This window comes from Homo sapiens, chromosome 6 (genome assembly GCF_000001405.40).
Source record: "Homo sapiens chromosome 6, GRCh38.p14 Primary Assembly".
Lineage (NCBI taxonomy): Eukaryota > Metazoa > Chordata > Mammalia > Primates > Hominidae > Homo > Homo sapiens.
This window is the reverse complement of record NC_000006.12, coordinates 77,062,087-77,088,704: the sequence shown is the minus strand read 5'-3', so window position 1 is coordinate 77,088,704 and position 26,618 is coordinate 77,062,087. Positions and strand designations below refer to the sequence as shown.

At 36.5% G+C, this 26,618-nt stretch overlaps 2 long non-coding RNA genes across 3 annotated transcripts in view; one reads left to right on the top strand and one right to left on the bottom strand.

The window, feature by feature from the left end:
* The window catches only part of LOC101928570 (uncharacterized), a 248,816-nt gene extending 228,775 nt beyond the window's left edge, over positions 1–20,041 (top strand). The window contains exons 9-10 of one of the 2 annotated variants that reach the window (XR_241864.5): positions 16,366–16,406; positions 19,567–20,041. This is a non-coding gene — a long non-coding RNA (uncharacterized LOC101928570). Of the gene's footprint in view, positions 1–16,365 lie in introns of both variants that reach the window. The other variant, XR_007059650.1, reaches the window with a different exon arrangement.
* The window catches only part of LOC105377862 (uncharacterized), a 322,839-nt gene that overhangs the window by 9,084 nt on the left and 287,137 nt on the right, over positions 1–26,618 (bottom strand). The window contains exon 3 of the long non-coding RNA NR_187980.1: positions 15,379–15,491. This is a non-coding gene — a long non-coding RNA (uncharacterized LOC105377862). The remainder of the gene's footprint in view (positions 1–15,378; positions 15,492–26,618) is intronic.

Sequence of the window (26,618 nt, the reverse complement as noted above, 5' to 3'; positions counted from 1 at the left end):
CTGTGTGGCTCATGGCAAGAACTTACTGAACATTATCTGTTTTTAATAATAGTAACATTATTATTTGACAATTACAGGTGATGGAAATCAAAGTCTATGGTGTGGCTCCCTTTAAAAGCTTATGGCTGCCCATGAGTTTATGAGAACCTTTTTTTCACAAAAAGCCTCCATTCCCATTGTTGTTTTCTACTGTCAATTGAAAATGCCTGGAGAAGCCAAGATGGCCGAATAGGAACAGCTCCGGTCTACAGCTCCCAGCGTGAGTGACGCAGAAGACGGGTGATTTCTGCATTTCCATCTGAGGTACCGGGTTCATCTCACTAGGGAGTGCCAGACAGTGGGCGCAGGTCAGTGGGTGCACGCACCCTGCGCCAGCCAAAGCAGGGCGAGGCATTGCCTCACTTGGGAAGCGCAAGGGGTCAGGGAGTTCCCTTTCCGAGTCAAAGAAAGGGGTGACAGACGCACCTGGAAAATCAGGTCACTCCCACCCGAATATTGCGCTTTTCGGACTGGCTTAAAAAACGGCACACCACGAGATTATACCCCGCACCTGGCTCGGAGGGTCCTACCCCACGGAGTCTCGCTGATTGCTAGCACAGCAGTCTGCGATCAAACTGCAAGGCGGCAGCGAGGCTGGGGGAGGGGCGCCCACCATTGCCCAGGCTTGATTAGGTAAACAAAGCCAGCCAGGGAAGCTCAAACTGGGTGGAGCCCACCACAGCTCAAGGAGGCCTGCCTGCCTCTGTAGGCTCCACCTCTGGGGGCAGGGCACAGACAAACAAAAAGACAGCAGTAACCTGTGCAGACTTCAATGTCCCTGTCTGACAGCTTTGAAGAGAGCAGTGGTTCTCCCAGCACGCAGCTGGAGATCTGAGAACGGGCAGACTGCCTCCTCAAGTGGGTCCCTGACCCCTGACCCCCGAGCAGCCTAACTGGGAGGCACCCCCCAGCAGGGGCACACTGACACCTCACACGGCAGGGTATTCCAACAGACCTGCAGCTGAGGGTCCTGTCTGTTAGAAGGAAAACTAACAGAAAGGACATCCACACCAGAAACCCATCTGTACATCACCATCATCAAAGACCAAAAGTAGATAAAACCACAAAGATGGGGAAAAAACAGAACAGAAAAACTGGAAACTCTAAAACGCAGAGCGCCTCTCCTCCTCCAAAGGAACACAGTTCCTCACCAGCAACGGAACAAAGCTGGATGGAGAATGACTTTGACGAGCTGAGAGAAGAAGGCTTCAGATGATGAAATTACTCTGAGCTACGGGAGGACATTCAAACCAAAGGCAAAGAAGTTGAAAACTTTGAAAAAAATTTAGAAGAATGTATAACTAGAATAACCAATACAGAGAAGTGCTTAAAGGAGCTGATGGAGCTGAAAACCAAGGCTCAAGAACTACGTGAGGAATGCAGAAGCCTCAGGAGCCGATGAGATCAACTGGAAGAAAGGGTATCAGCAATGGAAGATGAAATGAATGAAATGAAGTGAGAAGGGAAGTTTAGAGAAAAAAGAATAAAAAGAAATGAGCAAAGCCTCCAAGAAGTATGGGACTATGTGAAAAGACCAAATCTACGTCTGATTGATGTGCCTGAAAGTGACGGGGAGAATGGAACCAAGTTGGAAAACACTCTGCAGGATATTATCCGGGAGAACTTCCCAATCTAGCAAGGCAGGCCAACGTTCAGATTCAGGAAATACAGAGAACGCCACAAAGATACTCCTCGAGAAGAGCAACTCCAAGACACATAATTGTCAGATTCACCAAAGTTGAAATGAAGGAAAAAATGTTAAGGGCAGCCAGAGAGAAAGGTCGGGTTACCCTCAAAGGGAAGCCCATCAGACTAACAGCAGATCTCTCGGCAGAAACCCTACCAGCCAGAAGAGAATGGGGGCCAGTATTCAACATTCTTCAAGAAAAGAATTTTCAACCCAGAATTTCATATCCAGCCAAACTAAGCTTCATAAGTGAAGGAGAAATAAAATACTTTACAGACAAGCAAATGCTGAGAGATTTTGTCACCACCAGGCCTGCCCTAAAAGAGCTCCTGAAGGAAGCACTAAACATAGAAAGGAACAACCGGTACCAGCGGCTGCAAAATCATGCCAAAATGTAAAGACCATCGAGACTAGGAAGAAACTGCATCAACTAACGAGCAAAATCACCAGCTAACATCATAATGACAGGATCAAATTCACACATAACAATATTAACTTTAAATGTAAATGGACTAAATGCTCCAATTAAAAGACACAGACTGGCAAATTGGATAAAGAGTCAAGACCCACCAGTGTGTTGTATTCAGAAAACCCATCTCACGTGCAGAGACACACATAGGCTCAAAATAAAAGGATGGAGGAAGATCTACCAAGCAAATGGAAAACAAAAAAAGGCAGGGGTTGCAATCCTAGTCTCTGATAAAACAGACTTTAAACCAACAAAGATCAAAAGAGACAAAGAAGGCCATTACTTAATGGTAAAGGGATCAATTCAACAAGAAGAGCTAACTATCCTAAATATATATGCACCCAATACAGGAGCACCCAGATTCATAAAGCAAGTCCTGAGTGACCTACAAAGAGACTTAGACTCCCACACATTAATAATGGGAGAATTTAACACCCCACTGTCAACATTAGACAGATCAACAAGACGGAAAGTCAACAAGGATACCCAGGAATTGAACTCAGCTCTGCACCAAGCGGACCTAATAGACATCTACAGAACTCTCCACCCCAAATCAACAGAATATACATTTTTTTCAGCACCACACCACACCTATTCCAAAATTGACCACATACTTGGAAGTAAAGCTCTCCTCAGCAAATGTAAAAGAACAGAGATTATAACAAACTATCTCTCAGACCACAGTGCAATCAAACTAGAACTCAGGATTAAGAATCTCACTCAAAACCACTCAACTACATGGAAACTGAACAACCTGCTCCTGAATGACTACTAGGTACATAATGAAATGAAGGCAGAAATAAAGATGTTCTTTGAAACCAACGAGAACAAAGACACAACATACCAGAATCTCTGGGACACATTCAAAACAGTGTGTAGAGGGAAATTTATAGCACTAAATGCCCACAAGAGAAAGCAGGAAAGATCCAAAATTGACACCCTAACATCACAATTAAAAGAACTAGAAAAGCAAGAGCAAACACATTCAAAAGCTAGCAGAAGGCAAGAAATAACCAAAATCAGAGCAGAACTGAAGGAAATAGAGACACAAAAAACCCTTCAAAAAATTAATGAATCCAGGAGCTGGCTTTTTGAAAGGATCAACAAAATTGATAGAGAGCTAGCAAGACTAATAAAGAAAAAAAGAGAGAAGAATCAAATAGACACAATAAAAAATGATAAAGGGGATATCACCACCAATCCCACAGAAATACAAACTACCATCAGAGAATACTACAAACATCTCTACACAAATAAACTAGAAAATCTAGAAGAAATGGTTAAATTCCTGGACACATACACTCTCCCAAGACTAAACCAGGAAGAAGTTGAATCTCTGAATAGACCAATAACAGGAGCTGAAATTGTGGCAATAATCAATAGTTTACCAACCAAAAAGAGTCCAGGACCAGATGGATTCACAGCCGAATTCTATCAGAGGTACAAGGAGGAACTGGTACCATTCCTTCTGAAACTATTCCAATCAATAGAAAAAGAGGGAATCCTCCCTAACTCATTTTATGAGGCCAGCATCATTCTGATACCAAAGCCGGGCAGAGACACAACCAAAAAAGAGAATTTTAGACCAATATCCTTGATGAACATTGATACAAAAATCCTCAATAAAATACTGGCAAATCGAATCCAGCAGCACATCAAAAAGCTTATCCACCATGATCAAGTGGGCTTCATCTCTGGGATGCAAGGCTGGTTCAACATACACAGCTCAATAAATGTAATCCAGCATATAAACAGAGCCAAAGACAAAAACCACATGATTATCTCAATAGATGCAGAAAAAGCCTTTGACAAAATTCAACAACCCTTCATGCTAAAAACTCTCAATAAGCTAGGTATTCATGGGATGTATTTCAAAATAATAAGAGCTATCTATGACAAACCCACAACCAATATCATACTGAATGGGCAAAAACTGGAAGCATTCCCTTTGAAAACTGGCACAAGACAGGGATGTCCTCTCTCACCACTCCTATTCAACATAGTGTTGGAAGTTCTGGCCAGGGCAATTAGGCAGGAGAAGGAAATAAAGGGTATTGAATTAGGAAAAGAGGAAGTCAAATTGTCCCTGTTTGCAGACGACATGATTGTATATCTAGAAAACCCCATTGTCTCAGCCCAAAATCTCCTTAAGCTGATAAGCAACTTCAGCAAAGTCTCAGGATACAAAATCAATGTACAAAAATCACAAGCATTCTTATACACCAATAACAGACAAACAGAGCCAAATCATGAGTGAACTCCCATTCACAATTGCTTCAAAGAGAATAAAATACCTAGGAATCCAACTTACAAGGGATGTGAAGGATCTCTTCAAGGAGAACTACAAACCACTGCTCAATGAAATAAAAGAGGATACAAACAAATGGAAGAACATTCCATGCTCATGGGTAGGAAGAATCAATATCATGAAAATGGCCATATTGCCCAAGGTAATTTACAGATTCAATGCCATCCCCATCAAGCTACCAATGACTTTCTTCACAGAATTGGAAAAAACTACTTTAAAGTTCATATGGAACCAAAAAAGAGCCCGCATCGCCAAGTCAATCCTAAGCCAAAAGAACAAAGCTGGAAGCATCACACTACATGACTTCAAACTATACTACAATGCTATAGTAACCAAAACAGCATGGTACTGGTACCAAAACAGAGATATAGATCAATGGAACAGAACAGAGCCCTCAGAAATAATGCTGCATATCTACAACTATCTGATCTTTGACAAACCTGAGAAAAACAAGCAATGGGGAAAGGATTCCCTATTTAATAAATGGTGCTGGGAAAACTGGCTAGCCATATGTAGAAAGCTGAAACCGGATCCCTTCCTTACACCTTATACAAAAATCAATTCAAGATGGATTAAAGACTTAAACGTTAGACCTAAAACCATAAAAACCCTAGAAGAAAACCTAGGCATTACCATTCAGGACATAGGCATGGGCAAGGACTTCATGTCCAAAACACCAAAAGCAATGGCAACAAAAGACAAAATTGACAAATGGGATCCAATTAAACTAAAGAGCTTCTGCACAGCAAAAGAAACTACCATCAGAGTGAACAGGCAACCTACAAAATGGGAGAAAATTTTCTCAACCTACTCATCTGACAAAGGGCTAATATCCAGAATCTACAATGAACTCAAACAAATTTAGAAGAAAAAAACAAACAACCCCATCAAAAAGTGGGCGAAGGACATGAACAGACACTTCTCAAAAGAAGACATTTATGCAGCCAAAAAACACATGAAAAAATGCTCATCATCACTGGCCATCAGAGAAATGCAACTCAAAACCACAATGAGATACCATCTCACACCAGTTAGAATGGCAATCATTAAAAAGTCAGTAAACAACAGGTGCTGGAGAGGATGTGGAGAAATAGGAACACTTTTACACTGTTGGTGGGACTGTAAACTAGTTCAATCATTGTAGAGGTCAGTGTGGCGATTCCTCAGGGATCTAGAACTGGAAATATCATTTGACCCAGCCATCCCATTACTCGGTATATACCCAAAGGACTATAAATCATGCTGCTATAAAGACACATGCACACGTATGTTTATTGTGGCATTATTCACAATAGCAAAGACTTGGAACCAACCCAAATGTCCAACAATGATAGACTGGATTAAGAAAATGTGGCACATATACACCATGGAATACTATGCATTCATAAAAAATGATGAGTTCATGTCCTTTGTAGGGACATGGATGAAATTGGAAGTCATCATTCTCAGTAAACTATTGCAAGAACAAAAAACCAAACACCACATATTCTCACTCATAGATGGGAATTGAACAATGAGATCACATGGACACAGGAAGGGGAATAGCACACTCTGGGGACTGTGGTGGGGTGGGGGGAGGAGGGAGGGATAGCATTGGGAGATATACCTAATGCTAGATGACGAGTTAGTGGGTGCAGCGCACCAGCGTGGCACATGTATACATATGTAACTAACCTGCACAATGTGCACATGTACCCTAAAACTTAAAGTATAAAAAAAAAAAATTAAAATTAAAAAAAATAAATAAAAAAAAAAAAAAAGAAAATGCCTTGCTGCCTGTCTCAGGTCTAAGCCAACCCAGCTTGGGGTTTGCTGCTTACGTGCGTCGTGTTCTTCCTCATGGGCTCCACAGAGGTGTGGATCTGATAATTTTTCAGGTGAATAAAATAAAATTGACAAGGATCTGGTAAAGGTAATAGGAGAAGAAACTGAGTATGGGAATGGAATTCAGGTTCTCTGTAAAAGCAGCAGTTGAAAGATGTACATTAAAAAATCAATTCAGATTTTTCAATTTTTCTTCTCTCAAGGGCCAATTTGCTGAGGAAAATATTTTATTTAGATATGCAAAGTCGGCCTTGTTCGCAGTAAACTCACTAAGTAAATTATAAATTAAACGCTAATTTCAAAAGCATTAATTAAACCTTTTGATTAAACCCTTCTGCCCTAAAGAGAAAAAAAAATTTTTTCACAAAAATGCTTTTTTATGCATTTTTCATGGTTGAATCTTTAGTACTCATCACTGTCTATATTCACACAAGGCTTCTGTGGATTTCAACAAGTAACTGTAATGTTTTAAAAAATTAATTAATACATAATAGATATACATATCTTCTGGGTACAGGTGATAATTTAATACACACTTAAAATGTATAAAGATCAAATTAGTGTAATTTGGATTCTACCACTTAAATATATGTCTTTTATTTATGCTAAATCCCTTCAAATTATTCTCCTCTAGCTGTTTTAAAATATACAAGAGATTATTGTAAACTGTAGTCACCGTATTGATCTATCAAATTCTAGGTCTTAATTCTTTAGTCAAACGGTATATTTATACCCATTAATCAACCTCTCCTCATTGTCCCTCACCATTGCCCTTCACAGCCTCTGGTAATCACCACTAGTCTCTGTCTTTAAGAGATAACTTTTTTAACTTTTGCATGTGAGTGAGAACATATGATATTTGTCTTCCTGTGCTTGGCCTATTTTATTTAGTGACTTCCATTTCCATCCATGTTGCTGGAAATGACAGAATTTCATTCTTTTTATGGCTAAAAAATATTCCATTATGTATATATATCACATTTTATTTACCCATTCATAGATTCATGGACACTTAGGTTGTTTTCATATGTTGGCCATTGTGAATAGTGCTGAAATAAACATGGGAGAGCAGGTATTGCCTTGATATATGATTTTCTTTTTCTTTTTGTATATATACCCAGTAGTGGAATTACTGGATCATATGGGAGTTCTATTTTTAGTTTTTTTGAGGAACGTTCATATGATTTTCCTTAGTGGCTGTACTGATTTACATTTCCATCAACAGTATACAAGGGTTTTCCTTTCTCCACATCCTCACCAGCATCTGTTATTACTTGTATTTTTAAGCCATTTTAACCAACATGAGATGATATTTTATGTGGTAATCATTTCTCTGATGACTGGTGATATTGAACTTTTTTTCCTGTATTTGACGGTCACTTGCGTGTCTTCTGTTGAGAACCATCTACTCAGATTCTTAGCCCAATTTTAATTGGATTTTTTTCCCAAGTAGAGTTGTGTTTGCTCCTTACATATTCTGGTTACTAATCCTTTGTCAGATGAATAATTTGCAAATATTTTCTCCCATTCTGTGGGTTGTCACTTCACTTTGTTGACTGTTTTCTTTGCTGTGAAGAAGCTTGTTAACTTGATATAATATTATTTATCTTTTTTGCTTTGGTGGCCTATGCTTATAAGGTCTTATACAAAAATTCCTTGCCCAGACCAATCTCATAAGCATTTCCCAATGTTTTATTCTAAGAGTTACATAGATTCAGGTGATAGATTTAAGTTTTTAATTCATCTTGATTCAATTTTTGTATATGGTGAGAGATAGGAGTATAGTTTCATTCTTCTGTATATGATTATTCAGTTTTCCCAGAACCATTTATTGAAGAAACTGTCTTTTCCCCAATGTTTGTTTTTGGTTCTTTTCTCAAAAAAATAAGTTGGCCATAAGTGCATAGGTTTATATCTGGGCTCTCTATCCTTTCCCGTTGGTTTGTGTGTCTATTTTTATGATTGTACCATGCTGATTTAGTTACTATAGGTTTGTAGCGTATTTTGAAGTGAGGTAGTATGATGTCTCCAGCTTTGTTCTTTTTGCTCAGCATTGTCTATAAGAGGTTTTTTGTGGTTCTATATAATTTTTAGAATTGTTTTCATATTTCTATGAAGAAAGACATTGGTATTTTGATAGAAATTGTATTGAATCTAAGTTTCTTCAGGCAGTATTTTCATTTTAACAATATTAATTCTTTCAATCCATGGGCATGGAATTTTTTTCAATTTTTTGTGTCCTCTTCAATGTCTTTCATCAGAGTTTTATTGTTTTTCTTACATAGCTCTTTCACTTCTTTGGTTAAATTGGTTCATAAATATTTTATTTTCTTTGTAGCTATTGCAAATGGGATTGCTTTTCTGATTTCTTGTTCAGATTGTTTGCTGTTGATGTATATAAATGGTACTGATTTCTGGATGTTCATTTTGTATCCTGAACTTTACTGAATTTGCTTATCATATTTAACAGTATTTTTGGTGGAAGGTATTTCTAAGTATTACATTTTGTTATCTGAGTTAAAAGCCAATCTGACTCCTTCCTTTTCAATTTGTATGCCTTTTCTTTCTTTCTCTTGTTTAATTGCTCTGGCCAGGGCTTCCAGTATCATATTGAATAAAACTGATGAAAGTGGCCATCCTTGTCTTGTTCTTCATCTTTGAGGAAAGACTTTTGTTTTTTACCCTGTTCAGTCCAATGTTCATCATGGGTTTGTCATATATAGCCTTGTATCATTTTTAGGTATTTCCCTTCTATACCCATTTTGTTGAAGGGTTTTAATCGTAAAGGAATGTTGAATTTTATTGAATGCTTTCAGCATCTATTGAGATGAGAGTATGATTTTTGTTCTTGCTTCTATTAACGTAATGCATCATGTTTATTGATTGGCACATGTTGCATTCATCACTTGCATTCCTAGGATGAATCCCACTGGTTCATGGTGAATGATCTTTTTAATGTGTTGTTAAATCATATTTGCTCATATTTTGTTGAGGATTTTGGAACTATATTCATCAAGGACATTGGCCTGTAGTTTTCTTTTTTGGTTATGTCTTTGTCTGGTTTTGCATCAGGAAAATGCTAACTTTGCATAACAAGTTTGAAACCTTGTTATGCAAAGGTTTCCTTCTCTTAATTTTTTGAAGAGTTTGAAAAGAATTGTTATTAATTCTCCTTTAAATGTTTGGTAGAATTAAACAGTGAAGCCATCATGTCTTGGGCTTTTCTTTGATGAGAGACTGTTTATTACAGCTTTAATCTTATTACACATTATTTATTTGCTGAGGTTTTCTATTTTGTTGTGGTTCAATCTTGGTAGGTTGTACATGTCCAGCAATTTACCCATCTCTTCAGGTTTTCCAGTTTGTTGACATGTAGATGTTCATAATGGTATCTACTGATCTTTGTGTTCTGTGGTCTGAGTTGTCTTCTTTTTCATTATTGATTTTATTTATTTAGATTTTCCCTCTTTTTTCCTTAGTCTAGCTAAAGGTTTGTTGATTTTATCTTTTCAAAAAACCAAGTTATGTAGTTGTTCTTCTGTTTCTGTTTTATTTTCTTTTATAAGATACCACTTTTAGCTGTTTCTGCTCTTATCTTTATTATTTGTCTCCTACTAATTTTTAATTTGCTTTGTTCTTGTTTTCTTGTTTCTTGAGGTGTATCATTCAGTTGTTTATTTGAAGTCTTTTCACTTTTTTTCTTGTAAACTCTGATGAAAACTTTTTTGAAGTGTGTTTCTATAAACTTTCCTCTTAGTACTGTTTTTGCTGTGTTGTGTACACTTTGCTATATTGTATTTCCATTTTGATTTGTTTAAATTTTTTAAATTACCTTATTAATGTCTTCATTGACCCATTGTTAGTTTTGGAGCATATTGTTTAACTTCTAGGTGTTTGTATATTTTCCAAGTTCCTCTTGTTAATGATTTCTAAATTTATTCACTTGTGGTCAGAAAAGATGATCGACTTGATTTCTACCTTTTTAAATTTGTCAAGACTTATTTTGTGGCTGACAATATGGTCTATTCAAGAAAATGTTTCATGTCCTGATTAAAATAATGTGTATTGTGCAGCAATTGAGTGAAATGTTCTATAAATGACAACTAGGCCTATTTGATCTAGTGTGTAGTTTAATTCTGATGTTTCTTTGTTGATTTTTTGTCTGTGTTACCTTCTCATTACTGAGAGTGGAGTGTTGAAGTTTCCTATAATTAAGGTATTGTAATCTATCTCTTCTTTTAGATCTATTAATATTTGCTTTATATACTTAGGCACTCTGGTGTTAGGCATATGGATACTTAAAATTGTTATGTCCTCTTCATAAACTGAGCCCTTTATCATTTTATAGTGATCTTTTTGTGTGCTTTTAAAGTTATTGATTTGTATTCTATATTGTGTGATATAAGAATAGCTACTCCTGCTATTTTTTGGTTTCTGGATGCATGGAATATTTTTTCCACCCCTTCAATTTCAGTCTAAATGTGTCTTTATATGTGAAGTGTTGCTTTCTTTCTTTCTTTCTTTTTTTTTGGAATATGGATCATGTTGTTGAGTCTTGTTTCTTTATTCATTCAGCCACTCTATGCCTTTTAATTGAAGAATTGAATCCATTTACATTCAGTGTTATTAATGATAAGTAAGGGCTTACTACTGCCATATTGTTCTTTGTTTACTGGTTGTTTTGTAACTCCCCTCTTCCTTTCTTCTTTGCTTACTCTGTTTCCTGTGGCTAGGTGATTTTCTCTGGTAGTATGTCTTAATGTGTTGCTTTTGATTTTTAATGAATCTATTAAAAGTTTTGCATTGCAGTTACCATGTGGCTTACAAGAAACATCGTATAGATATTATAGATATGACAAGTTATTTTAAATAAAGATTCCATCTTAGATCACAAAAAGAAAAATAATGGAAAGAAATATGCTACACCAACTTCATTTTTAACTACACATTTACTTTACGTTGTCTCAATTCATGTCTTTTAATGTTGCCTATCTCTTCACAGGTTGCTATTGCTATTATTATTCTTGATAGAGTTATCTTTGGGCTTTATAATAGAGTTACAAGTGAATTGCACAACACAATTACAATATTAGAGTATTCTGGGTTAGTTCATGTACTTAATTTTACCAGTGTGTTTTATACCTTCTAATGTTTTCAATGTTAGTGTTTTTTTTTTTTTTCATCAGATTTTTTTCAGATGGAAGAACTCCCTTTTGCATTTCTTATAAAAGGGTCTGGCGTTGGCAATTTTTTTCAGCTTTTGTTTGTCCGGGAAATACTTTCTCTTTCATGTGTAAAAGATAGCTCTGTGGGATAAAATATTCTTAAATGGCAGTTACTTCTTTCAGTACATTGAAAATGCCTTCCCACACCTTGTTGGTCTGTGTGGTATTCATTCAGATGTCAGCTCCCTGATGAATTGGAGCTCTTTTACAACTTGTTTTCTTCTTACTCTTACTCTTTTTAGAACCCTCTCCTTGTTTTAACCTTTGAAAGTTTGATTAATTCCTGCCCTGAGGTAGTCTTATTTGGGTCAAGTTATGTAGTGTTCTCTAGCCTTCCTGTACTTAAATATTTGTCCGTTTTTCAGAGTTTGGAAAGTTTTCTGTTTGAGTAAGTTTTCTATCCCTTGTTTTTGCTCAGCTCGTTCTTAAAAAGCAATAATTCTTAGATTTGATCTTTTGAGGTAGTTTTCTATATCTTGTAGGTAAGCTTTCCTTTTCATTTTTTTCTCATCATATATATTATTGAATAGCTCACTGATCATTTTCATGCTTGATCCATTCTGCTCATGAGAGCCTCTAATGTATTTCTCAGTTCAGCAAATGTTTTTCTTAGTTAGAAGATTTTTGTTTGATTTTTAAAATTATTTCAATCTCTTTGTTAAATGTGTCTAGTAAATGTCTGGACTGCTTTTCTGTGTTATCTTGGAAATCACTGAGGTTCCTTAAAACTACTATTTAGAATTTTATTAAGAGCATTCACATGTCATCGTCCCAGTGGAGCCAGTCACTGGTTCCTTGCTTTGCTCATTTGAAGAGTTCATGATTCCATTTTTTTTCCTTGTAGATGTATGTCTATATATTTGCATTGAATAATTAGTTACTTCTTCTAGTGTTTGCTGTCTGTTTTGTTTTTTATAGGATATGTTTGCTTAGATTTTTTTTTTTGTAATTTGCCTGTTGATGTTTTTATTTTTACCCCAACAAGGTCACTGTCTCCTTTTCAGCACTTGATGGCCTTAAAGCCTAGGTTTGTCTCAGTTCTAGTAAACAATCAGAATGCTGAAGGTCAGAATGGGAAGGTCCCTAAGCGGGTATTCCATTAGTGTGGGAAGGCTGGCTACAGATGTGTGTTCAGGGGACCTGTGGAACAAACTTTCTACAATGTGATGCTTCTGAACAGCCACTCTGATTTGGCAACTCCTTTAGCAGAGTTATAGAGCAGAGTTTCCAGAGCAGGGGATGGTAGTCCTACCTCCCTCCTTTGTTTAGGGTGATTCTCAGGGATATTCCTCCCTTCAGACACTGTTGGTGATTTCTGTGGGTTGAAGTAAGGACAGGTCTCCTGCCAGGGAATCTAAAATGATTGGGAAGCTGGTAGTCCATCTTAATTTCATTTTTCCCTCTCTAGAAATCATGAGTCATAAAATTCTCATGCACTTGATGTGGGGCATTTTCGGGGCAGGGGCATCATGGATATAGAGGTTTGATTCTCTTTCCATGTGCTTCGAGTCTTTTCACTTCCCTTTGGCTCTGGGAACTGTCTTATCCTCTTATTTGAATTCTGGGATATTGCTGGTGATAATCTCAGTGCTATATATTTGTTTTTGGTTTTCTGTGGGGGAGAGTTAAGCCAGCTTGCTTCTTTGTCACTATTTTGGAACCAGAAGTCTTTCCAACAAGTAACTGTTTGATGTCATTTTTATATGCCTATTAGGTCAAGTTCTGATTTGAGTTAAATGTGGGATATGCAGTAAATATATAGTTTTCTAGAGAAAGTAAGTTAATTTATAACTTTGAATGGGGAACAAGAATGCTCAATTCAGTGTTATTGCCAAATGTGTTCATATTCTGTCTATATTTTTCTCAGTGAATAATGATAATGCAGTTCTGAGGCCTGAAAAATTCTTACAGTCTCTTACCAAGTCTTTGATCTATCTTGGGATTTCATTTGTTTCCTTACTGCTAGGAGAAAGGTGTTACTATATACCTCGAAGAGATGCTATAAGAATCTGTCTCAAATCATTATTTAAACACTTAGAAAACATGCCCATTTGTTGTTCTACAAGAGACAAGTAAGATGATAAATGCTGTGTGTTATATAAATTCTGTCCTAAAATAGAGGTTCATGAATACATTGAATATGTATCTGAGAAATTGTATTAGGACAGTGGTGACTCATGCAATACTAAGGAAAATTTTATCCTGTGATTTTAACTTTTGGAATAATTTAAAACAGAATGTAATCCATACTTACAATTACTTAGGAATATTTCTCAAAACTGTAAATGCATATTTGCTTACATAATTAGAAGTGAGAAAATTACTGGTGCTTTCTGTGTTACTCTCCTCCAGACAATGAGGGAGGATGAAGATAATCATTAATACTTTTGGGAATCAAAGTAAATTAATTACGCATTTATTTTCGAGTACCTGAAGAAACAGTTAAACTTCGGTGGCTAGCCAGTCTGTTCTTTTGGTAATTCTGCTCTTTGTTAATGATCTTTTAAATGCGTATTTTCTACACAGTTTCTTTAACAGGGTGAAAGTAAAAGAAAGCTCCCTCATAATAAATACACTTTCACTTCCCTAAAGTAAATAGTAGCTTTCATCAAAATGCTTGAGAGAGGACTGTGCAGACATTTTTCACTGAATATTTAAGCAAAAGACAATAGATTTGTCATTATCAGTAGTGTATTAGTCTGTTTTCACACTGCTGATAAAGACGTACCCAAAACTGGGAACAAAAAAAGATTTTATTGGACTTACAGTTCCACATGGCAGGGGAGGCCTCAGAATCATGGTAGGAAGTGAAAGACTCTTACATGGCAAAGGCAAAAGAAAATGAGAAAGAAGCAAAAGCAGAAAAGTGGAAACCCCTGATAAACCCATCAGAGACTTACTATCATGAGAATAGCACGAGAAAGACCGGCCCCCATGATGCAATTACCTGCCCATAGGTCCCTCCTGAAACACGTGGGAACTCTGGGAGGTACAATTCAAGTTGAGATTTTGGTGAGGACACAGCCAAATCATATCAACTATCATCATATATCTTTTTGGCCATAGTTGTTTTCTTTTAGCTTTCGTGCTTATTTCACTATCCTTATTTTTTTCAAGTGAGTTTTAGAAAAATAACTTAAAAAAAGAAGAATAAAAGCTCTGGTCACTTAATTTTAGGTTAATATAATTTGGTAATTTACTAGTAGTTAACCCTCATGCAATCCATGAAGATTATTTGATGTGAACATATAAATGGCATACTTGCAAGAGTTCTTGTAAAATAAAGTGAACAAGATCTACCCCACCCTTATCCCTGAAGAAGCGAGTCTATCTAGGAAACATAAATCCAACCTTGAAAGTGGAAAATGTATTTACTGATTGTGACCAAATAAATTTGTCACTCTTTTCCTTTTTTTAACATCCTATTTAGTGTAAAATTTGAAGGTCATTTAACTGATGAGTTTCACTAAAAATACAAATTATGTTTGGTTTAAAATATTGGACTTGAAAAGTTACTGGTGTCCAGGTATTCTGATTTTTCAGATTTCAGTTCCCAGTTCTGAGTGATTACCTAATCAGTGAATTTCATGAAGCCTAAAATTCTCATCTCATAAAGTCTAAAATGCTCACAAAACAGGAAAAGAACCTAGGATTACCTCTTTCCTGCCTTAGCTGCCACTCAGCTCCTCCATTTCTTAACAATGGCTCAGCATATATTCGTTTTATAAATTGAAATTCTTGTGAGGTTTCATTTGAAGAAGTAATTCTGCTGATTCCAAAATTTTGAAAACTGCAGTTATAAACTATTGGGAGATTACTTACTCACCAGTTTTGATGTTCTGCCAGAATCCAAAGGCCAGAACTTGCGGACCTTGTTGACAGGTGTGACTACCAGGTCAGAACAGAAGGGGATCAGGAACTCACATAGGAAATCCTTTGCTACGGAGAAAGCAGGCATAAAATGTTAGAGCAGAATAAAGTTCTACATTCTAGGCAGAGAGGTAAAGTTTCATTAGTTGGAACACCATGAAATGGAATTGACTTCGTTCTGTATGTTCCAATTAGATTGGTCCCAGGGTGTGGGTTTTTTGATTTTGTAAGCACAAACTGATTAAGGTCTGTTCCTGGTTGCAGAGCTGATGAGAATGTGTTCTTATTTGACAAACAAGTTCTCCTAATGTGCTTTGCCATTTTGTTAAGTAGTTAAACAGATTATGAGTTGCAGCGTATGGTTTAGATTGGTGGTACTCCAACTGTTGTGTACATTGGAATCAGCTGGAGGACTTGTTAAAAGGCAGACTGCTGGTTTCCACCTCCAGTTTCTGATTCAGAGACTGGGTTTGGAAGTGTGGTCCAAGACTACATTTCTGAGTTACCAGTGATGCTTCTGCTGCTGCTCTAGGAAACACACTTTAAGATTGCATCTCTGGTTTAGAAATGACTATAGTTCACTTTTTAGTTAAATGATTTCTATATACCAGGGTAAAGTATTTTTCTTTCCTAAGTGACTTTTTTTTTCTGCCTTAATCCCCATTCCCCCATCCTTTTTCTGTGGAAATTCTTAACACAATATGTGAAATTTTTGCCAAGAAGATCAAAATTTAATCTTATAAAAAGGTATCTAAAAACCCTACAACTAACAATGATGATACAATGAATTATTTTTCTCTAAAGTCAGAATAAGGCAAGTCTGTCCACTGTCACCACTCCTATTTACACTATACTGGAAGTCTTAACCACCAAAATCAGCTATGAAAAATAGAAATGAAAGATGAAGATTGGGGAAAAATCAACATATTTTCTCTTTTTGCAGGAAACATGGCTGTATAAGTAGAAAACTTTGAAGAATTTGCTGTAAGTAACAAATATGTTTAGAAAGGTTACAGACTACAATATCTAATTTAGAAGTCCTTTGTATTTCTACATATTAGTAATAAATAATTGGAATTTAAAATTTATAAAAAGTACTATTATAATAGTACTATCTAAAATGAAATACTTCAATATAATCTAACAAACATTTGAAGGATCTATATACTGAAAAGTAAAAAATATTGATTAAAAAATGAAAGTCATATATAAAAGGAGATATTATTCAATTACCAGATTGGAAGTCTTATATTGTCAGTCCTCCTCAAAAGAATTCATAGATTTAACGCAATCACAATCAAATTTCTAGAATTATTTTGGTAGATGTTTAACTATTTATAATACATATGTATATATAGAAAAAGCAAGGGGATTAGAAAAATGACAAGGAATGAGAGTAGACAAAATAATTTTGAGAAAAAACCCACAAAATTGGAGGACTCACATTACCCAATTTCATGACTTATCATAAAAATATAGTAATCATGGCAGTAGGTATTGGCTGAAGCATGTATGCACTGAGCTAAACATGGTGGCTTGAACATATAATCCCAGCTACTCAGGATGCTGAGGTGAGAGAATCACTTGAGCCCAGGAGTTTAAGACTGGCCTGGACAACATAGCACTATCCCATATTAAAAAATAGTAAATAAAAACTAAAAAGAATAGACACATCAGTCAGTGGAACTGAATACAGAAACAAAAACCTGCCCTGTACAAATACAGCAAGCTCACATGAACAAGCATGAAAAGGCAATTCAATGAAGAAAAAATGAATAATTCATAATCTCAATGCCAATGAAGAGAATCTTAGCCTATACCTTTCATCTTAGACAAAAAGCCTTAAAATAGATTATAAGACTAAATATAAAATCTAAAACTATAAAACTTCTAGAAAAAAAGATAGAAATATATATGTGTGACTTTGGGCCAGGCACGGTGGCTTGCACCTGTAATCCCAGCACTTTGGGAGGCTGAGGCGAGTGGATCACGAGGTCAGGAGATCGAGACCATCCTGGCTAACACGGTGAAACCTCATCTCTACTAAAAATAGAAAAAAATTAGCCGGGTGTGGTGGCATATGCCTGTAATCCCAGCTACTTGGGAGGCTGAGGCAGCGGAATCACATGAACCCGGGAGGCGGAGGCTGCTGTGAGCTGAGATTGTGCCATTGCACTCCAGCCTGGCAAAAGAGCAAGACTCCATCTCAAAAAATATCTATATCTATATCTGTATCTAGATATAGATATATCTGTGTGACTTTAGTTGGGCAAAGAGTTTTAGATATGACACCAAAAGCATGATGAATAAAAGAAAAAAATTGATTGGATTTCATTAAAATTACAAATTTTGGCATAGTGAAAGATAACTGTTTAGAGAAAGAAAGGCAAAACACACTCTGAGAAAAATATTTGGAAATTATAGTTGATATGGTTAGGCTTTGTGTCCCCACCCAAATCTCATCTTGATAAATTGTTATCCCCGGTTGTTGAGGGTGAGACCTGGTGGGAGGTGATTGGAACATGGGAGTGGTTTTTCCCATGCTGTTCTCATGATAGTGCGTGAATTCTCATGAGATCTGATGGTTTTATCAGTGGCAATTTTTCCTCCCTTGCTCTCATTCCCTCCTGTGGCCTTGTGAAGAAGGTGCCTTCTTCCCCCTCAGCTTCTGCCATGATTCTAATTTTCCTGAGGTTTCCCCCAGCCATTCAGAACTGGGAGTTAATTAAACCTCTTTCCTTTATAAATTACCCAGTCTCATGTATTTCTTTATAGCAGTGCAAAAGCTAATTAATGCATTAAATTGGTACTACAGAGAGTGGGGTATTGCTATAAAGACACACAAAAATGTGAAAGTGATTTTGGCTCTGAGTAGTGGGCAGAGGTTGGAACAGTTTGGAAGGCTCAGAAGACAAGAAAATTTGGGAAAGTTTGGAACTTCCTAGAGACTTGTTGAATGCTTTTGACCAAAATGTTGATAGCATGGACAATGAAGTCTGGGGTGAGGTGGTCTCAGATGGAGATGAGAAACTTATTGGAAATTGGAGCAAAGGACACTCTTGCTATGCTTTAGCAAGGAGACTGGTGACATTTTGCCCCTGCCCTAGAGATCTGTGTAACTTTAAATTTGAGAGAGATCATTAAGGGTATCTTGCAAAAGAAATACCTAAGTGGCAAAGCATTCAAGAGGAAGCAGAGAGTAGAAGTTTGGAAAATATGCAGCCCAATCATGATGTTTTAAAGAAAAACCCATTTTCTAGGGAGAAATTCAAGTTGGCTGCAGAAATTTCGATAAGTAACAAGGAGCCAAATGTTAATTTTCAAGGCAATGTGAAAAATGTCTCCAGGGTATGTCAGAGACCTTCACAGCATCCCTCCTCTCATCACAGGCCCAGAGGCCTAGAAGGGAAAAAAGATTTCATGGGCCAGGCCCAGGGACTTCCACTTTGTGCAGCCTCAGGACTTGGTGCTCTCTGTCCCAGCTGCTCCACGTCCAGCCATGGCTAAAAGAGGCCAAGGTATAGCTCTTGCCATTGCTGCAGAGGGTGAAAGCCCCAAGTCTTGGTGGTTTCCACATAGTGTTGGGCCTGTGGGTGCACAGAACTCAAGAATTGAGGTTGGGAAACTTCAGCCTAGATTTCAGAGGATGTGTGGAAATGCCTGGATGTCCAGGCAGAAGTCTACTGCTGATATGATCATGGATAACCTCTGTCAGGGCAGTGCAGAAAAGGAATGTGGGGTTGGAGCACCCATATACAGTTCCCATTGAGGCACTGCCTAGTGGAACAGTGAGGAGAGGGCCACCATCCTCCAGACCCCAGAATGGTAGATCCACTGACAGCTTGCACTGTGCATCTGGAAAAGCCACAGGCACTCAATACCAGCCTGTGAAGAAATTGCACAAGGCCATGGGAGCCCAACCCTTGCATCAGCATGCCCCCGAATGTGAAGTGGAGTCAAAGGAGATCATTTCGGAGCTTTGAATTTTAATGACTGCCCCACTGGATTTTGGATTTTCATGGGGCCTGTAGCTCCTTTGTTTTGGTCAATTTCTCCCATTTGGAATAGAAGAATTTACCCAATGCCCATACCCCCATTGTATCTAGGAAGCAACTAACTTGTTTTTAATTTTACATCCTCATAGGTGGCAAGGACTTGCCTTCTCTCAGATGAGACTTTGGACTGTGGACTTTTGTGTTAATGCTGGAATGAATTAAGATGTTGGGGGACTGTTGGGAAGGCATGATTGGTTTTGAAATGTGAAAGGGACATGAGATTTTGGGAGGGCCCGGGGTGAAATGATATGGTTAGGCTTTGTGTTGCCACCCAAATCTCACCTTAAATTATAATCCCCAGGTGTTGAGGGAGAGACCTGGTGGGAGGTAATTGGATCATGTGGGTGGTTTTCCTTATGCTTTTCTCATGAGAATGAGTGAGTTCTCATGAGATCTGATAGTTTTCTACATGGCAGTTTTTATTCCTTTGCTCTCACTCCCTCCTGCCACCTTTTGAAAAAGGTGCCTGCTTCCCCTTCACCTTCCTCCATGATTGTAAGTTTCCTGAGGCCTCCCAGCCATGTGGAACTGTGAGTCAATTAAATCTCTTCCCTTTATAAATTACCCAGTCTCAGGTATTTCGTTATAGCAGTGCGAAAATGTACTAATACAATATTTCTGACAGAGAACTTGTATCTGAACTATAGAAATAATTATCAAAGCACATCAATAAGAAAAATAAACAATGGACCAAATATATGAACAGACACTGCATCAGGAACATATGTGATGGCAAATAATTACATGAGCAGATGATCTACATTATAATCTATTAGAGAAATGCAAATTAAAACCACAATGAGATACCAAAGTATACATTTCAGACTGCCTTAAAAAGCTAGAACAGAGGTAAAGAAATTGAATTAGTAACCAAAAAACTTCCCACCAAGAAAAACTCAGGCCAAGGTGGTTTCACTAGCAAACTTTAGCAAACATTTAAAGAAGAAATAATGCAATACTCCACACATTGCAATACTTCACAATCTCTTTCAGAATAAAAATGAGATACACTTCTCAGTTAATTCAGTGACAATAGTATTACCCTTATACAAAAAGCAGATAAACGTTACAATAAAAGAAAATGACAACTCTATTAAATGTAGACAAAAATATTCAACAAAATTTCTGTGAATAAAATTTAATGATATACAAAAAGACTATCAGTATGACTAATTAGGACTTATCCCAGAAATGCAAGATTAGTTTAACATCAGAAAATGAGTTATGTAGTATACCATATTAATATAGTAAAGAAAAAAATGGTTTTAATCATCTCAATAGATACAGAGAAAGCATTTGACAAAATGAAATATCAATTCATGATTTAAAAACAAACAAAATTTTTTAAAAAACATTCTTGACAAAGTTGGAATAGAAGAGAACTTCCTTGACATAAAGGGCTCTTACAAAAAAAAAAAAAGCAAATATACTCAATGGTGAAAGATTGAATACCTTTCCCATAAATCAGAAAAAAGGTGAAGATATTTGCTCTCTGCATTCCTATTAAACTTTGTACTGGAAGACTCACTGCATGCAATAAGAGAAGCAAAAGAGGCCAGGCGCGGTGGCTCATGCCTGTAATCCCAGCACTTTGAGAGGCCGAGGCAGGCAGATCATGAGGTCAGGAGATCGAGACCATCCTGGCTAACACGGTGAAACCCTGTCTCTACTAAAAATACAAAAAATTAGCCGTGCGTGGTGGCGAGTGCCTATAGTCCCAGCTACTCAGGAGGCTAAGGCGAACCCAGGAGGCGGAGCTTGCAGTAAGCTGAGATCGCGCCACTGCACTCCACCCAGCCTGGGCAACAGAGTGAGACTCCATCTCAAAAAAAAAAAAAAAGAAGCAAAAGAAATAAAAGGCACCCATAATGAGAATTAAGAAGTAAAACAGTGTTCACTGGCAAATGACGTGATCTTGTTTGTAGACTATTTTTTAAAAATCCACAAGAAGTTATTAGGATTAATAAGCAACTACAACAAGGTGGCAGAAGGTAAGTAAACAAAACAATTATCTTTTACATATGAGCAATGAATAATCTGAAAATGAAATAAAGAATATAATTCATAATGAAAATGGGAATAAGATTCAATTAGAAATACATATTAAAATCTGTGAACTTCAACTAAAGCAGTGCCAAGAGATAAATTTATAGAACCAAATACATTAGATAAGAGGAAAAGTATAAAATCAATAACCTAAGCTTCTTCCTCTAAGAGCTAAAATTAGAATGGCAAAGCAATATTAAGATAAGCAGAAGTAAAATAAAAAGCAGAAATTAATAAAATTAAAAACCAGAATACAATAGCAAATAACAAAAACTTCATTTTTTGGAAAGAATAACACAAACTTCCAAGACAACTGAGAAATAAAAATACATAAAGTATAGATTACCAACAACAAGAATAAAATGAGGACAATACTATAGGCCCAGCAGACATCAAAATAATATGAAAATACTACAGATGACACTACACATGAATTTTTAATGACCATTTTTCAAAAGCACAAACCACCAAAACTCATCCATTACAAAATAAATATCTACTTACAAAACTTCAAATAGTTTTATAACCAATAAGGACATGGAATTTTTAACTTTAAATCTCTTAAATGATAAATATCTGGGCTCAGTTGGTTTTACTGGAAAATTCTACTATATATTTAAAGAAGAATTAACATTTCTACACAATATCCTGAAGAAAACAAAAGAGGAAGAAAGATTTCTCAATAGGTTTTATGAAGTTAATATTACCCTGATACTAAAACCACATAAAGATGGTATGAAAAAATGTAGATACATACCTCTCATAAATATAATTTCAAGATTCTCAAAAGAATACTAGCAAATAGAATTTAGCAATATATAAAAATAATTATACACCATGCGTAAGTGGTGTTTATTACAAGGATGCAACATTGGTTTGATATTTGAAAATCAATCAAAGTAATCTACCATTTGACAGTTGAAAGAAACAATATATGATTATATTAATGCAGAAAAATTTGAATTAATTCATCATTGCTTATTTAAAAAACTCAGATAAACATATAGAAATTGATTTTATTACTATATACTAGCATTAAACATACATATACAAAACATTAACAATAGTTTACAATCACTGAAAAAATAAAATATGTATAAATCTAACAAAAAATATATATAACTGACCTTCAGAAAAGAAAAATACTACAAAAAGCTGGTGAAATAAATCAAAGAAAATCACACTATTTATATTTTGGAAAACCCAACATAATAAAGACTTAAATTCTCCCCTAGCTGGTATACCTATTTTAAAAAATCCAAGAAAAATCTCTGTCAAAATGACAGCATTATTTTTAGGTATAAATAAGATTATTCTAAAATTCATATGAAAAAGATAACAAGAGAAACTCCTAGAATAGTGAAACAATTTTGAAAATGAAGAATGCAGTGGGAGAAATGATTCTCCAGTTTTTAAAAATGTATTATATAACTACAGTAGTCAATATTGTATGGTATTGGTGGAAATTTAGATATAATAGATTAATGAAACAGTTTCAAATACTGACACTTAGGAATTCATTGAGTGAAATACAAAATATATTTATAAACTTCAACAATAGACTAGATCAAACAGCGTAAAGAATCTCAGAGCTTGAACACCAAGACTTTTGAAAGAAGAAGCCAAAAATTGCCCAATGCAGGCATAGCAAGATGAAAAAGCAATTCAGTGGAACTTTGAAAAGTGGCTTTTTCATCAGATTGTGAGAGAACAATTGGACATTCATAAGCAACAACAATAACAACAAAAATTAAACTTGACCTACATCTCACACCTTGTATAAAAATTAATGCAAAATGAACATGTAAATTTAAACTAAAAATCTTTTAGAAAAAATTAGAACACTTTCAGAATCTAGGACTAAGCAAAGAATTGTTGACTTGACACCAAAAGCAAAATTCATTAAAGGAAAAAATTGATTAATTGAACTTCATCAAAATTAAAAATTTTGCACTGTGAAAGATCTTGTTAAGAGAATGAAAACACAAGCTACAGACTTGGAGAGAGTATTTGCAAACCAGATATATGAAGAACTAGGGTCTATCTCTCTATCTTCCATCAGTCTATCTATCTATCTATCATCTATCTATCTATCCATCTATCTTCTAATCTATCTATCTAGTAAGCACATAAAATGATGGCACAATATCATTATTAGAGAAATCCAAACCAAAACCATAATGAGATATCATTGTACACCTATCAGAATGGCTAAAGCAAAAAATACTGGCAATACCAAGTGCTGGTGGAGATGAAGAGAAACTGGATCATCTATACATTGCTGTGAGGAAGTCAAACGATACATCCATTCTGGAAAACAATTTGGCAAATTCAAATTCTAAAGAAAAACATGTAACTATCCTTTGACGTAGTCATTGAACTCCTGAGCTTAATCTAGATAAACAAAGATTATGTTTATACAAAAACCTGTAATAGTCAAAAACTAAAAACAAATAAGAAATGCTTAAACAAATATAGTACATCTATAACATTAAATAGAATTCAGCAACAAAAAGGAAGAAACTATTGATAAACACAAGAAATAGGTTGAATCTCAGAATTATGATGAATGATAAAAGTCAATAACAACAAATTATGTATAATCCAATTCAATTTATATAATATACTTGAAATAAAAAAATTATGAAAATGATAGGAGCTTTAAGATGGGTGACTAAATGTGTCTGGTACTTGCCTCTTCCACAGAGAGGAACCAAAACAATGAATAGACAATCACACTTTAAATAGATCATCTAAGAGAGAACATTGAAATTCAACAGAGAAATGATGGGAAGCACCACAAACAAGGAAGGAGAGGGAAGGGAGGAAGCCTGTTTGGCCAGGATTGGCTGGAACTCTGGACGGGCTCCCTAATGCAGGAAAAGGGTGAGTGAAAGACACCCAGTGATCCACATTCCAAATATGAGTCCTACAATCCTAGCCATGAGAGAGCACCTCGACCTTCATGGGACCTGAGACTAACATAGGAAGCTGCCTGCAGACGAAAAGAAGTTATTGCTGCAGAGGTAGCTCATACTGGGTCCCACAAACTCCCAAGTCCTAAGAAGTATGGTGCCACTTTGAAAGCCCATCCTGCACTAGACTGCATCCTGCCCTGGGTTACAACAGCCGCTGAATCTCTACATCCCTAGAGCCCCATTGACGCTCCCTCACCACAGCTGCCACCACTGGGGCCAACTGCCAGTAACCTAGCCCACCTACAGCATAAGGGCAGCTATGCATTTTCAAATGCCTTGAGGACAAATTCCACTGCCTATAACATCCACTGCTACAGACTTCTGTGAAGCTGAGGCATGAATGAAGCGTGTGCCCCATTGACATCTGCTGATGGCTGCTCCCACTGCAAGCAACTCTGCCTTCCTCAGTAATAGAACCACAGAACAGTGGCTGCTGCCCCCAACTGAGCACTCCACTGGGGGCCTGGCTCTACCCTGTTCCTGCCTATAAAAGCCAGTCCCTACACGCACCACTGGGAGGCTTGAGGGTAAGTCTCTTCGGCCCAGCTCCACCCCCACCAGGTACCCGAACATGCCAACTAAGGAACTGGGGATCACCTAGCCCAGCCCACAGTTTGCACCTGAGCATTCCTTTCAGCATTTGAGATCAGGTCCATGCCACCTTTCACTACCACCACAGCTTGCAAACCACTCATGTGCAGCACCTGTGGGCCTGAGGACTGGTGCACCCAGCCCTCTGTAGACACCACCACCACCAGTACGACCACCTGGGTCTCAAGGGACATGGACAAATATTTAAAAATTGAAATCATATTAAATATCTTCTCAAACTGCAATGGAATAAAGCTAGAAATCAATAACAAGAACTTTGCAAACTGTACAAGTACATGGAAATTTAACAACATGCTGTTGAATATCCATTAGGTCAAGGAAAAAAATTAAGAAGTAAATAAAAAATTTTCTTGAAGCGAACTGAAATAAAAACACAGCATACAAAAAACCTACGGGATATTGCAAAAGCAGTACTAAGAGGGAAGTTTATAGCAATAAACACCTACATCAAAAAAGTAGAAAGATTTCAAATACACAATTTAATGATGCACCTAAAGGAACTAGAAAAGCAAGAACAAACCAAAGCCAAAATTAGTAGAAGTAAGGAAATAATAAAAATCAGAGTAGAGCTAAATAAAATCCAGGCAAAACACAAAATAAAAGATCAATGAAATTAAATGTTGGTGTTTGAAAAAAATGAAAAAAATGGATAAACCATTTGATAAGCTAACAAAAAAGAGAGAGAGAAGACCCATATAAAATCAGAAATGAAGTAGGAGGTGTTACAACTGATAAGACAGACTGATACATCTGAGACTATGATGAACAACTGTATACTTAACAAACTGGAAAACCTAGAATAAATGCATAAATTCCTGGAAATATACAATCTGCTAAGATTGAATCAGAAAGAAACAGAAAACCTGCACAGACCAATAATGAGTAATGAGATTGAATCAGTAATTAAAAGTCTTCCAACAAATAAAAGCCCAGGATCAGAGAGCTTCACTACTGATTTGTGCCAAACTTTTTTTTTTTTTTTTTTTTAATATGGTTGGGGCCTTTGAAGCAAAGAACTGTGTGTAGACATAGATCAATAACAGAAGTGAATACCATAGCATATTGTGTTATGATATGCCACATGGATTTAATTAGAATTTCAGCTGGGGTTTTTTTTTTTAATTTTTTAATTTTTTTTATTATACTTTAAGTTTTAGGGTACATGTGCACATTGTGCAGGTTAGTTACATATGTATACATGTGCCATGCTGGTGTGCTGCACCCACTAACTCGTCATCTAGCATTAGGTATATCTCCCAATGCTATCCCTCCCCCCTCCCCCCACCCCACCACAGTCCCCAGAGTGTGATATTCCCCTTCCTGTGTCCATGTGATCTCATTGTTCAATTCCCATCTATGAGTGAGAATATGTGGTGTTTGGTTTTTTGTTCTTGCGATAGTTTACTGAGAATGATGATTTCCAATTGCATCCATGTCCCTACAAAGCACATGAACTCATCATTTTTTATGGCTGCATAGTATTCCATGGTGTATATGTGCCACAT